Below are 12270 nucleotides of genomic sequence, written 5' to 3'. Positions count from 1 at the left end.
CGGGCCTGGTGGCACATGCCTGTAATCCCAGCTACTCGGGAGGCTGAGGAAGGAGACTCACTTGAACCCGGGAGGCGGAGGTTGCAGTGAGCCCAGATCGCGCCACTGTGCACCAGCCTGGGCAACAAGAGGAAAAACTCCGTCTCAAAAAAAAAAAAGGCTGGGCGCAGTGGCTCTCACCTGTAATCCCAACATTTTGGTAGGCCTGCACAGTCAGATCACCTGAGGCCAGGAGATCGAGACCAGCCTAGCCAACATGGCAAAACCCCATCTCTACTAAAAATACAAAAATTAGCTGGGCATGGTGGCGCACGCCTATAGTCCCAGCTACTCGGGAGGCTGAGTCAGGAGAATTGGTTGAACCTGGAAGATGGAGGTTGCAGAGGTCACACCACTGCACTCCAGGCTGCGTGATGGAGAGAGACTGTGTCTCAAAAATGCTAATCATCATCACCATCATCATCATCATCACCATCATCACCATCATCATCATCATCATCATCATCACCATCATCACCATCTAACTGCAACACATCAGCCAGGACAGAAGGAGCCAGTTCTTGCTCTGAAACTATACTGCTCGCTGCTCAGGGACCTATTTTTTTCTTTCACATCAGACAGAACCCCATGGGGGTCAGTTCCCGGCTTTCCACAATGTAACTCCTGGGAATTTGCTCAGAAAAGGTTTATCCCCATGCTAAAGCAGCCCCCACTGCATAATAATCCCAGCCTCCAGGGGCTGACCACCTGCGCAAGCTCAATTCCCCCATCCCAGGGAGGCTTACTTACCAAGAAAGCACATGGCCCAGTCCCAAAGCCCCAAGAGACGTGAGGAGGCAGAGGCTGTGGTTATTTTACCAAAAAAGTCTAGTTACATGTCACATTCACCATTTAGAGAACTAAACCAGTACACACACAATTTCCACATCAAGACCTGGGCTCCCCTGAATCATCTCTTTCTAGACACCATCTAGCGCCCAGTTCTAGTTATGGGAAGGAGGAAGTGGTGGGGGCTGGGGAGTCAGATAATAACCTTCTGCCACCCTTGCCTCTCTGAAGGCCACTCCTTTACCCTGGAATATTGGAGAAGTTTAGAGAGCAGGACCAGGGCAAGAGCCAGTGATATCCCCTAGCACCAGTGCTCCAGCATTCAAAATCAAACCAGCCGTACTACATCACCACACCAACCTCAGCAACAACCAAAACAAATGACAGACAATGCAAAACAATCCTCAGCCTGCCACTCTAAAGGTGAAATGAGACCAGCATCTTCTCAGAGGACCAGCCCGTGGCCCGGCTCCAGCCACCACCCCAGGAAGCCTGACTCAGGAGAAAGGTTCAGTCACCTGATTTAAGGCTTCCCGTGGAATCTGCAGGCAAATTCCCTGAACTGAGGAATGGGCTGGGCCTAAGTGCTGAGGACCCCTGACTGAGAGAGGTCCTCAGCAGGGTGCCTTGGGGAGGGGAGGAAAGTTTCTTCCCATCATCTTGAGGAAGACCCACATCTGAACCGCTCTGACCAAGCGGCGAGCCAGGACTGAGGCCGCCACCAAGCAAGGAGAGGGAAGCCTGCTTAGCCACCCAGGCAGCCCCAGGCAGGACAACGCGCCCTGCACACACTTGCCCCCATGAGAGGCCTCAGTGGGAACTGAGCTCACAATAATCAGCCAAACTGAAACAGTGAGAGCAGGAAGCAGCTGAGAAGCTATGGAACACACCTGTTTACAAAAGAAACCCGGGGGCCGGGCACAGTGGCTCACGGCTGTAATCCCAGCACTTTCAGAGGCCGAGCAGGCAGATGATGAGGTCAGGAGTTCAAGACCAGCCTGGCCAACACAGTGAAACCCCATCTCTACTAAAAATACAAAAATTAGGCCAGGCACAGCGGCTCACGCCTGTAATCCCAACACTTTGGGAGGCCGAAGCAGGCGGATCACGACGTCAGGAGATCGAGACCATCCTGGCTAACATGGTGAAACCCCATCTCTACTAAAAATTACAAAAAATTAGCCGGGCCTGGTGGCAGGCACCTGCAGTCCCAGCTACTCGGGAGGCTGAGGCAGGAGAATGGCATGAACTCGGCAGGCAGAGCTTGTAGTGAGGCAAGATCATGCCACTGCACTCTGACCTGGGCGAAAGTACGAGACTCCATCTCAAAAAAAAAAAAATACAAAAATTAGCCGGGCATGGTAGCAGGCACCTGCAATCCCAGCTACTTGGGAGGTTGAGGCACGAAAATGGCTTGAACCCAGGAGGCAGAGGTTGCAGTGAGCCGAGATTGCGCCACTGCACTCCAGCCTGGGCGACAGAGCAAGACTCCATCTCAGAAAAAGAAAGAAAGAAAGAAACCTGGGGAAAACAGAAGGCATTTCTCCCTTTTGGAGGAGACGGTTTTCCACTTCACCGTTCTGCAGCTGCGCGTGCTCTGCTTCATGGAAAACACTGGCACCCCTCGCCTTTCTCCTCAGCGCGTGTCAACAGCGCCTGGAGGCCCTACCGGGCGCCCGCTTCTCAGAGAAGGGATGCCACTGAAGACAAGCAAACACCAGGGAATTACACCGCGGTCTACACTGCACCTTTAGACGTCCCTTCCACATCTTCTCCCGGTGTCAGAGAACACGTGTTTCCCCCTAGAGCTGCAGTACTGACTGTCACCCACTACCAATGGGACACATGTAACAGGCCAACTTCTTGGGGTTTTTTCAAAACAGGGTATGTAGGACTTTGATGAAAGAGTACGGTAAAGCTGGAGGGCTGTCCTCACTGAACAGGGCAGAAGTTGCGCTCTCCATACCAAACACAGGTCGGTAATTCAGTGTCCCTCAGAGGCGTGGTCTGAAGGTCCAGGGGCCCTTCTTTAACCGTAAGGTACATTCACGGTACAGACTCTGTGGCCTGGAGCCCATCCAAATCTGTACAAAACCATGAAAAAAGAAGTTTTTAAAAGAAACTGAGCTCTCTGGATTGCAATATTTTCAGAAACTACTTTTTGAGAACAACTCACCCTACCCTCTCAGTCACAGATATTTAAATGTAAAAAAGTGAACTGATGAGAAAAAGCAACAGTCATAACACTTCCTGAGAAAGGCTCCAGAAACTACAAGAAGGTACCGTACTTCCTGCAACCCTGGCAGCAGGCGGCCCTTCCTGACTAATGCAAGACCTAACCCCGAGTAAGGGAAATGAGTGTGGATTCCCGTAGGTTACAAAAGACCAACGGCCTGCTGAACTCCCATAACAAGTCCGGCACGAGAGGCCCAGGCTGCCAGCATGCAGCTACATGCTGACTAGATGACTCTCCCCTTGGCTTAGCCAAAAGGAAGTCGATTACATTGGGGGCCAGAAATCCAAAATATATTTATAACCCACAATACAGCCTGGGTGGCCAAATGCACCAGGCACATCAAAGTGCCTGACGAGAACCAATCGCATGTTCTATGACTCCAAAGGGCTTCAGTCAGCCTGACTCCCAGCACCCTCAAAATCGACCCGTTTACATAAATCAGATCACGCTATTACAAAGGGATTATCATTCAGACCATTTTAATCCCAGGCTGGGTTCTATTTGCCTACCAGCAGACAACTGATTGAGTCTAATTCATCACCAACTATAACGTGCTCAGGGATACTCACATTAATATTCACTTAAAGCTACAATTGAGAAAGTCAGTCCGTTGTAAATCTTTTAATTCACTGCAAAATCAAATCTGAATTATTTGGCAAAACTATGCTTTGATTCTAAATATCCCCTTCCCAGCCATTATACTGCTATAAACAAACGAAGAGATGGTTATACTAAACTCTGAAGAGTAAGGAAGACCGAATCCCATCACAAAGTTCAAAGAAAAGTAACTTCTGGAAATCTGGTGGTCCCTCAGAGTAAAAACTACTTACACGTTGAACAAGTGACCTGCCACTACAATGTAAGAAAGTCTAGGCCGGGCACGGTGGCTCACCCCTGTAATCCCAGCACTTTGGGAGGCTGAGGTGGGCGGACCACCTGAGGTCAGGAGTTCAAAACCAGCCTGACCAACATGGAGAAACCGCGTCTCTACTAAAAATACAAAATTAGATGGGCGTGGTGGCACATGCCTGTAATCCCAGCTACTCGAGAGGCTGAGGCAGGAGAATCGCTTGAAGCCAGGAGGCAGAGGTTGCGGCACCTCAGCCTGGGCATCAAGAGTGAAACTCCGTCTCAAAAAAAAAAAAAGGAAAGAAAATCTAATTGAAAACAATCTGCTGGACACCTGTTTCCCTCTTATAACTCAGAGAAGTTAAGAACCCCTAACCCATCCAACACACACACTCACAAGCTCCTCAAATTGTGAAAAAGTTTCAAACATAAAGATGATTCTGCATGTATAGCTAAAACTTAAAAATAGTTTAAAAAGGAAAAAAAGTAAGCCACAGATAAATATTTCCTTGTATAGTAGGCAAGTTCAAGATTAGGAACTAATGCCTTCATGATACATTTCCCACTTGGTCTCATCTACTCCAAGTAACAAGGCCATTCTGTGGGCCGGGCACGGTGGCTCACGCCTATAATCCCAGCACTTTGGGAGGCCGAGGCGGGGGGATCACGAGGTCAGGAGATCGAGACCATCCTAGCTAACATGGTGAAACCCCGTCTCTACTAAAATTACAAAAAAAAATTAGCCGGGGGTGGTGGCGGGCACCTGTATTCCCAGCTACTCCGGAGGCTGAGGCAGGAGAATCGCTTGAACCCGGGAGGCGGAGCTTGCAGTGAGCCGAGATCGTGCCATTGCACTCCAGCCTGGGCGACAGAGTGGGACTCCATCTCAAAAAAAAAAAAAAAAAAAAAAAACCATTCTGTGTAGCCGGATGACTCAAAAAAACCCTATCTGAAGCATCTGTCTCCCTCTCCTGAGCTCCAGTTCTGCCACAGTCAACTGGACACTGAACACATCACCTAGAGGAACCTGGATACTGATTAACATAACCCAAATGCACTTTACCATCATCCCCAAAACCTGAGCCTCTTCTTTACTCCGTTTTCGTGAAATGTACCAACATCCATGTGCCCCATCAAGACTGATTCTCACTCAGCCCTCTTTTCTGCTCCCACTGCCCCGACTTCATATAAAAGCCCCCACCATCTCAGGCTGAACCAGAATCAAAAGAAATCATACATGGAATCTCAGAACTTGTCTTCCTGGGTCTCTGGCCCAGACTGGCTTGCTCCTAGCTCCTCTTCTTCCCTCCCTCCATCCCCTACTCGGTACCCCTAGTCAGCTCCTGGAAATGGTTTCAGTATTGGTGGGACCTCAGAATTGCCTTTCGCTGCAGTCCATGTCACTATCACTTCTTGAACATCCACTCCCCCTCTTCTTCACCGAGCCTAACTACTCCGACCCCTCCTTCAAAACAGCTCTGAGCCACTGCACCAGGAAGCCTTCCATGACCTCTCCAAGGTACTGCCATGACCTTCTACCTACTTCTTGTAATTGTTTATGGGTCTGAGCGTCTTGGAGGTGGGGCTGTGTCTTTATCTTTGCTTCCTGAGTACCTAGCACAGCACAGCAGTGCTCAATACACACATGATGAATAAATTAACGGATCCAGCAGTTCCTAATGATAATGAGTCAGATGCTAGCTTAAGAGGAAATGACAGTGCTTCTAAATCATTAACAGAAGTAATTTTAAGTAGAGTTCTCTGTCTCTCTGGCTGTCTCTATGCCTGAAAGGAAACCGCGGCAGTAAAAGGAACGTCCCCTCACGAGGGTTCACTGGCCCTCCAACAGCTGACTCAGATCGACAAGCTAAAACCTAAAATAATTCAAGCTCATGACTGCACAGAACTATTATCAATGAATCAATGATCAGCGAGTTACAAGAAACCACATCATTCGGGGAATGAGAAATTGGGAGGTGCAACTGAATAATGGAGAAGAAAGCAAAGTCAGCAGCTAATAAAGGGTAAGCAGCCACAACAAACATGAATAACTCGAACACCAAGGCCACAACGAATCAGAAAAGAACTGCAAACCGAATAAGGCAAAGAAAGGCTCAGAAACCTACACTACCACTCAATACCGGTCAAAGCATTTATCCTCAGTCCTACCATAGGCATTATTTCCGAGGATTACAAAGCAAAAACTTCTGTCTTAATGCCCAAGAAACTGAGTTGCTGGTTGAACTGTTGTCCCAGAGAAACAATCATCTCTCTCAGCTTAATGAAGGATGAAGGCACACAAACTGCATCCACTCACACAATTTACAAAAAAAAGAGATTAGAAAGTCAATTTAGACTATCTCCACTGCCACACTGCCCCTCCCACCACCAAAAAACAAAAAAGTGGCTGGGCGCAGTGGCTCACACCTGTAATCCCAGCACTGTGGGAGGCCGAGGTGGGCAGGTTACAAGGTCAGGAGATCGAGGCCAGCCTGGCCAACATGGTGAAACCCTGTCTCTACTAAAGATACAAAAATTAGCCGGACGTGGTGGCATGTGTCTGTAGACCCAGCTACTCTGGAGGCTGAGGCAGGAGAATCACTTGAACCCACGAGGTAGAGGTTGCACTGAGCCGAGATCAGACCACTGCACTCCAGCCTGAGTGACAGAACAAGACTCTGTCTCAAAAAAAAAAAGAAAAAGAAAAAGAAAAAAAGCACACTCATGAGAGATTTCTTTTTTAAAATATTTGTGTCAACTGCCCCAACATCCTTTAGTAATCAATTCCAATGTTGAACAATGATTTATAATGAAGTGTTTTTCATATAGTTTAAACATATAGAGGGAAATGACAAAGTCACCTAAATCTTGTCTTCAAGGGTAGAACATTTTTTTGAAACTGTAAACCAAATCTCAGTGGTTTGATGCCAGGACGTAGAAGTCATCTGACTTCGTCACCCAGAGATGAGCAGGTCTTTTGTTAAACACTGAAAAAATGAAAATGCAAAAAATGCAGAGGCCATTTCTTTTACAGCCCCAGTCCTGCTGGGTTCACCAACGTGAAACCTAGCAGGTTTCCAAGAGCGCCATCCTGCCCTGATTCTATCACCTAAAAATTCCCCTAAATCAAACTTGAGTTTTCGATGAAAATCTTCCACCATAGATCACCATGAAGCAAGCTCTTTTCTGTACCTAGAATCAGTACACATGACTGGACCCCAGATCTCTGTACTAGATGTCTGACCCCAGGAGGTCAAATCTCACCCGAGGAGTACACGTACAGATAGAAAATCTAACACAATGCAACCTCAACTAAAGGAAGCAGTTCTAAGATTTTTTTTTTTAAAGATCAAGTGTAAGACTCAATTAAGAAACCTATTTGCAGCCGGGCACGGTGGCTCACGCCTGTAATCCCAGCACTTTGGGAGGCCGAGGCAGGTGGATCAACTGAGGCTGGGAGTTAGAGACCAGCCTGACCAACATGGAAAAACCCTGTCTCTACTAAAAATACAAAATTAGCCGGGTGTGGTGGCTTATGTCTGTAATCCCAGCTACTCGGGAGGCTGAGGCAGGAGAATCGCTTGAACCTGGAAGGTGGAGATTGAGGTGAGCCAAGATTGCGCCATTGCACTCCAGTCTGGGCAACGAGTGAAACTCCGTCTCAAAAAAAAAAGAAAAGAAAAGAAAACTATTTGCACACAAGAGAATTTTTTTTTTTTGAAACAGAGTTTTGCTCTTGTTGCCTAGGCTGGAGTGCAATGAGGCAATCTTGGCTCACTGCAAACTCCACCTCCTGGGTTCAAGCGATTCTCCTGCCTCAGGGTCAGCCTCCCAAGTAGCTGGGATTACAGCCATGCACCACCATGCCCAGCTAATTTTGTATTTTTAGTAGAGACGGTTTCACCATGTTGGTCAGGCTGGTCTTAAACTCCTGACCTCAGGTGATCCACCTGCCTCGGCCTCCCAAAGTGCTGGAATTACAGGCGTGAGCCACCACACCCGGCCAAGAATTATTTATCCCCTTTTTTTTAATATTAGCAAGCCTCAGGTCAGCATGTTCTTGGCAAATGTTTATTTTAAAAGACCACTGCCTGAACAAATTGCTCCAAAGCCTACTTCATCATTTACATAACTTCAGTACTTTTCCAGAACACAGGCCCTTTGAAATGTGTAAAAAGTGTTTCGAGTGGCTCCTCTTCCCATGCCTGAGTGTTACTAAGGATTGCTTCACAGCTTTTTCTGGCAGGATGTGAGAAACGCTCTATACACAAAATCCCAGCAACGGTGATTCACTCACAGCCAGGCTTACCTAAGGAAAAGACCCCTCTGAACTCTCCGACACTCACATCCTGGGGCCGAAACCATGATATAAACAGCCTCTGGAGCTTGACCGAAGCTCCCTGAACGCACACACAGTCCCTCTTTTAACGTGTAAGTGCACGGTGGCCGGGGCTCGCCAACAAGCACGGTGTAGACGGGGAGCAAGGACTGGCCGGGCTGCGCAGGAGGCCCGCCGGCTGGACCCGGCCGATAATGGAGCACGAGCCGCCCACCCTCCCTCAAGAAGGCCAGTGAAGAAGCACATAGGTCAGGCGCCGAGCCCCGGGAGGCAGAAATGGGCCCGGAAACCGGGGAGGGACTCGCTGCGGATGCCCAGGACGCTGGGGCCGGGAGTTTGAGCGCCGGGGGGCCGGGCTGCAGCCGCGAGGGCTGCACTCTCATCCCGGCCGCCCCTCTCACCTCCTGCGCTGGCGGTCCCGGTTCCTGCCGAGGCGGTCGGACAGGCGTCCCAGGAGCGCGGCCAGCCCTGGGCGGCCAGGCAGGAGGCCCAGCAGTCGCCTCCAGAACACGGGTCCCGCCGCAGCTGCCGCCGCCACCGCCATGGAGACTCGCCGCTTCCGCTTCCGCTCCCGGCGGGCGCGAACTTTATTGACAAAGGCGAGCGCGGACACGGCTCAGGCGCGCAGGCGCGGAACCCCTGGCTCGGGGAGGGCGGCGCTGCACCGCCCCCAAGCCTCAGTTTCCCCTCTGGGGGACACAGGCGAGGAACAGTGGTCGCGCCGCAGGAGGGGGTCGGAAGCCGGCCCGTTAAATCCGTAAGGGCGCCAGGTGGCCTGCATTCCTGCAGTCACTCGTCACAGGTCGCGGAGGAAAGGATGCGGCGCAGGGGCTCTAGCACCGTCACGCTTGGCTCCAACTCACCAGCTGTCAAAAAAGCTTTTGTTTGTTTGTTTTGAGACAGAGTCTCGGTCTGTGTCCCAGGCTGGAGTGCAGTGGCGCGATCTTGGCGCATTGCAGCCTCGACCTCCCGGCCTCAGGGGATCCTCTCAAAGTGCTGGGACCACTCCCAAAGTGCTGGGACCACCAAAGTGCGTGTGCCACCATGCCCGGCTAATTCTTTACTTTTTTGTCGAGATGGGGGTCTCACTACGTTGCCCAGGCCGGTCTCGAGCTCCTGGGCTCAAGAGATCATCCAGCCTCAGCCTCCCAAAGTGTTGCCATTACAGACATGAGCCACCGAGCCTGACCACTGGCTGTCAAGATTGACTCCTCGGCCGGCGCAGTGGCTCACGCCTGTAATCCCTGCACTCTGGGAGGCAGAGGCGGGTGGATCACCTGAAGTCAGGAGTTCGAGACCAGCCTGGCCAACCTGATGAAACCCCGTCTCTACTAAAAATGCAAAAAATTAGCTGGGCGCAGTGGCCCATGCCTGTAATCCCAAACTACTCAGGAGGCTGAGGCAGGATAATCGCTTGAACCCAGGAGGTGGAGGTTGCAGTGAGCCAAGATCGAACCACTGTACTCCAGCCTGGGCAACAAGAGCAAAACTCCGTCAAAAAAAAAAAAAAAAAAAAAAAAAAAGGACTTCTCACTGATAAGTGAGGGAATTACTGTTTGAGGCTCTAATTGATAGGGTGTTCTTTAGACTTGTACAACACCCCTAAGGTGTTAAACTTGAACAAAGTCTGTTCTTGTACAAAGTCTTGTAACCTGGTTAACGCTGACTCACTAAGGTGCACAGAACCACGGAAAATCCCCACCAGACTGAGAGAGGAATCATTTTTCACCCTGTTAGCCCCAGAGGCTGCAGCTCCATGGCACAGAACAGCCTAAGCAAATCTGTGTGAGATGAACAGTCTTCCACCCTCCTGATATGCCCAAGTACACAGATATCACTGGCCCCTGGCAACACACAGTTCTATGCCCAAAAAGCTGACGGAGCACATCCTCATACACCAAGAACACTTTTTTTTTTTTTTTTTTTTTGAGGCAGGGTTTCACTCTTGTCACCCAGGCTGGAGTGCAATGGCGCAATCTTGGCTCACTGCAACCTCTGCCTCCTGGGATCAAGAGATTTTCCTGTCTCAGCCTCCGGAATAGCTGGGATTACAGGCGTGCGCCACCACGCCTGGCTAATTTTTGTATTTTTAGTAGAGACAGGGTTTCACCGTGTTGGCCAGGCTGGTCTCAAACTCCTGACCTCAAGTGATCCACCCAACTCGGCCTTCCAAAGTGCTGGGATTACAGGCGTGAGCCACCGCGCCCGGCCCAAGAACACTTTTTGCAGCTAATTTTAAAATGGAAAACTTTGTGGCATTCTGAAAGGCAGGAGAGGTGATCTCTGATCTGTAATATGCAGCTCCCTGGCTGACCCACATAGGCTGGGACCTGGAAACTGGAAAAGCTGTAGGACATAATCATAGTCTGCCGTGTTGTGAGGTTAAAATGATATGGACACGTGGGCCGGGCGCAGTGGCTCACACCTGTAATCCCAGCACTTTGGGAGGCCGAGGCGGGCGGATCATCTGAGGTCGGGAGTTCGAGACCAGCCTCACCAACATGGAGAAACCCTGTCTCTACTAAAAATACAAAATTAGACGGGCATGGTGGCACATGCCTGTAATCCTAGCTACTCAGGAAGGCTGAGGCAGGAGAATCGCTTGAACCCGGGAGGCGGAGGTTGCAGTGAGTCGAGATCGCGCCATTGCACTCCAGCCTGGGCAACAAGAGCGAAACTCAGTCTCAAAAAAAAAAGATATGGACACACTGAAAAAAACACTCCAAAGTCCACTTCCACAGATTATGCAGGGAAATCAACTACACATTCCCACAAGAATGTTCATCTCAGCCTTGTTCATGATATCGGAAGTGTGGAAGCAAATCTTCAGGGTAGGGGGGTTGGTTAAATAATGATACATCGGTATGTTGGAAGACCACACAATCATAAAAATAACATGTTCTGGAAGAATATTTAATGACATTAAGTGTAAAAGCCAAATTACCAAGGAGTAGCGTAGAGACCATCTCATTTCATTAAAGGAGAGGAAGAAAGAGGAAATGCGTGTATGTACACAGAAAGACTGAAAGTAAATACCCCCAAATGTTAATGTTGGTTATTTGGTGCCATTAAGGAGTTTCCAAATTGTTGACAATCAACAAGTATTTCAGATTGGCTTAAAGTTTTCTTTTGCGTTTAGATAGCTTTACTAATACTACATGGAATTTGATTCAACCCTTCCAAGTTAGAAATGGTGAATCATCAAATTTCCTAACTTCCAGTAACTAGAATGAGGCCATCCATTGCATGGTTCCACTTTTGCACTGTTCCTGGCCCACGGTTGTTGCAGAGTAAACACTTGCTGTATGGCTACACCGTCATGCTCAGCGGTGAGCGCCACATGGGCTATGGGAGCCTGGTTATCATCCTAGAAGGAGCTGGCAGCTTTTCTGCATGGGTGCTTTGCTGTGCGAGGTACTGAGACAAACAGCCATGGTACAGGCTCACTGGGAATTCCCAACCTTAAAGAAATGCTAGCAACAGACAGCAATATTGATAGCATGGTAAGTCACACTAATAAGTATTTACCCTAAGGATAACATCAAGGAATGACCCAGTCCCTTCTGAAACCACACATCGAGAGCCTCTGGCCTTCATGGCTAGTTTAAAACAGACAGAGCTATCACCAGAGTGAGGCAACCACGACTTTGCTGGGGACACATACATTTTGAGGTTGCAAAAATGTTAAATAATGGTTTTCAGAGATTGTGCAATTTTTAAATGATTCCATTTACAGGATGACAGCACATGCATTGTTCGTGTCAGGAGGTCTCATCTGGGCTAGTTACTGAAAACAAGTAGAGGAGATAAGACCCTCCCAGACAACAAAGGTGACCCAGAGAGCCTGCCTGGGAGCACTCAGGGTGTCCCAAAGCTGCGTGGCCGGCTCTCAATCTGGGTCAGACACTACTGCTGTGGATGGGGTTTCTGGATGCCCATCTCAATGACTGCGGGCGAGAAGACATCTGTCCTCTGAGTCCCCCTCGCCCTCCTGCCCTCACCCACTGCCTTCTCGTTA

The 12270-nt window shown here is 49.4% G+C and overlaps 1 protein-coding gene across 22 annotated transcripts in view, besides 3 other annotated features; it reads right to left on the bottom strand.

The window, feature by feature from the left end:
- The window catches only part of PGS1 (phosphatidylglycerophosphate synthase 1), a 46011-nt gene extending 37198 nt beyond the window's left edge, over window positions 1-8813 (bottom strand). For 12 of the 22 annotated variants that reach the window (XR_007065546.1, XR_007065547.1, XR_001752683.2 and 9 more), the window contains exon 1: window positions 8223-8813. Coding sequence is in view for 15 of the 22 variants with exons in the window: in XM_017025357.2 (XP_016880846.1) it covers window positions 8223-8635 (413 nt within the window). In the remaining 7 variants the exon portion in view is untranslated. Of the gene's footprint in view, window positions 1-4676; window positions 4814-8222 lie in introns of those variants that run through there. The other 10 variants (NR_110601.2, NR_110602.2, NR_111989.2 and 7 more) reach the window with 2 other exon arrangements.
- Window positions 1856-2085: an enhancer, noted in NCBI's record as "active region_12893". NCBI's record gives its function as "activates an Ori minimal core promoter by ATAC-STARR-seq in GM12878 lymphoblastoid cells {active_cell/tissue: GM12878}" and the evidence as "EXISTENCE:reporter gene assay evidence [ECO:0000049][PMID:35858748]".
- Window positions 7963-8924: an enhancer, noted in NCBI's record as "H3K27ac-H3K4me1 hESC enhancer chr17:76374619-76375580 (GRCh37/hg19 assembly coordinates)". NCBI's record gives its function as "activates a minimal SCP1, AML or CMV promoter by ChIP-STARR-seq in primed H9 embryonic stem cells {active_cell/tissue: H9 hESC(primed)}" and the evidence as "EXISTENCE:reporter gene assay evidence [ECO:0000049][PMID:30033119]".
- Window positions 8528-8767: a silencer, noted in NCBI's record as "silent region_9068". NCBI's record gives its function as "represses an Ori minimal core promoter by ATAC-STARR-seq in GM12878 lymphoblastoid cells {active_cell/tissue: GM12878}" and the evidence as "EXISTENCE:reporter gene assay evidence [ECO:0000049][PMID:35858748]".

Source organism: Homo sapiens, chromosome 17 (genome assembly GCF_000001405.40).
Source record: "Homo sapiens chromosome 17, GRCh38.p14 Primary Assembly".
Lineage (NCBI taxonomy): Eukaryota > Metazoa > Chordata > Mammalia > Primates > Hominidae > Homo > Homo sapiens.
The sequence above is the reverse complement of the archived record's forward strand: the minus strand, read 5'-3'. Positions and strand labels throughout refer to the sequence as shown.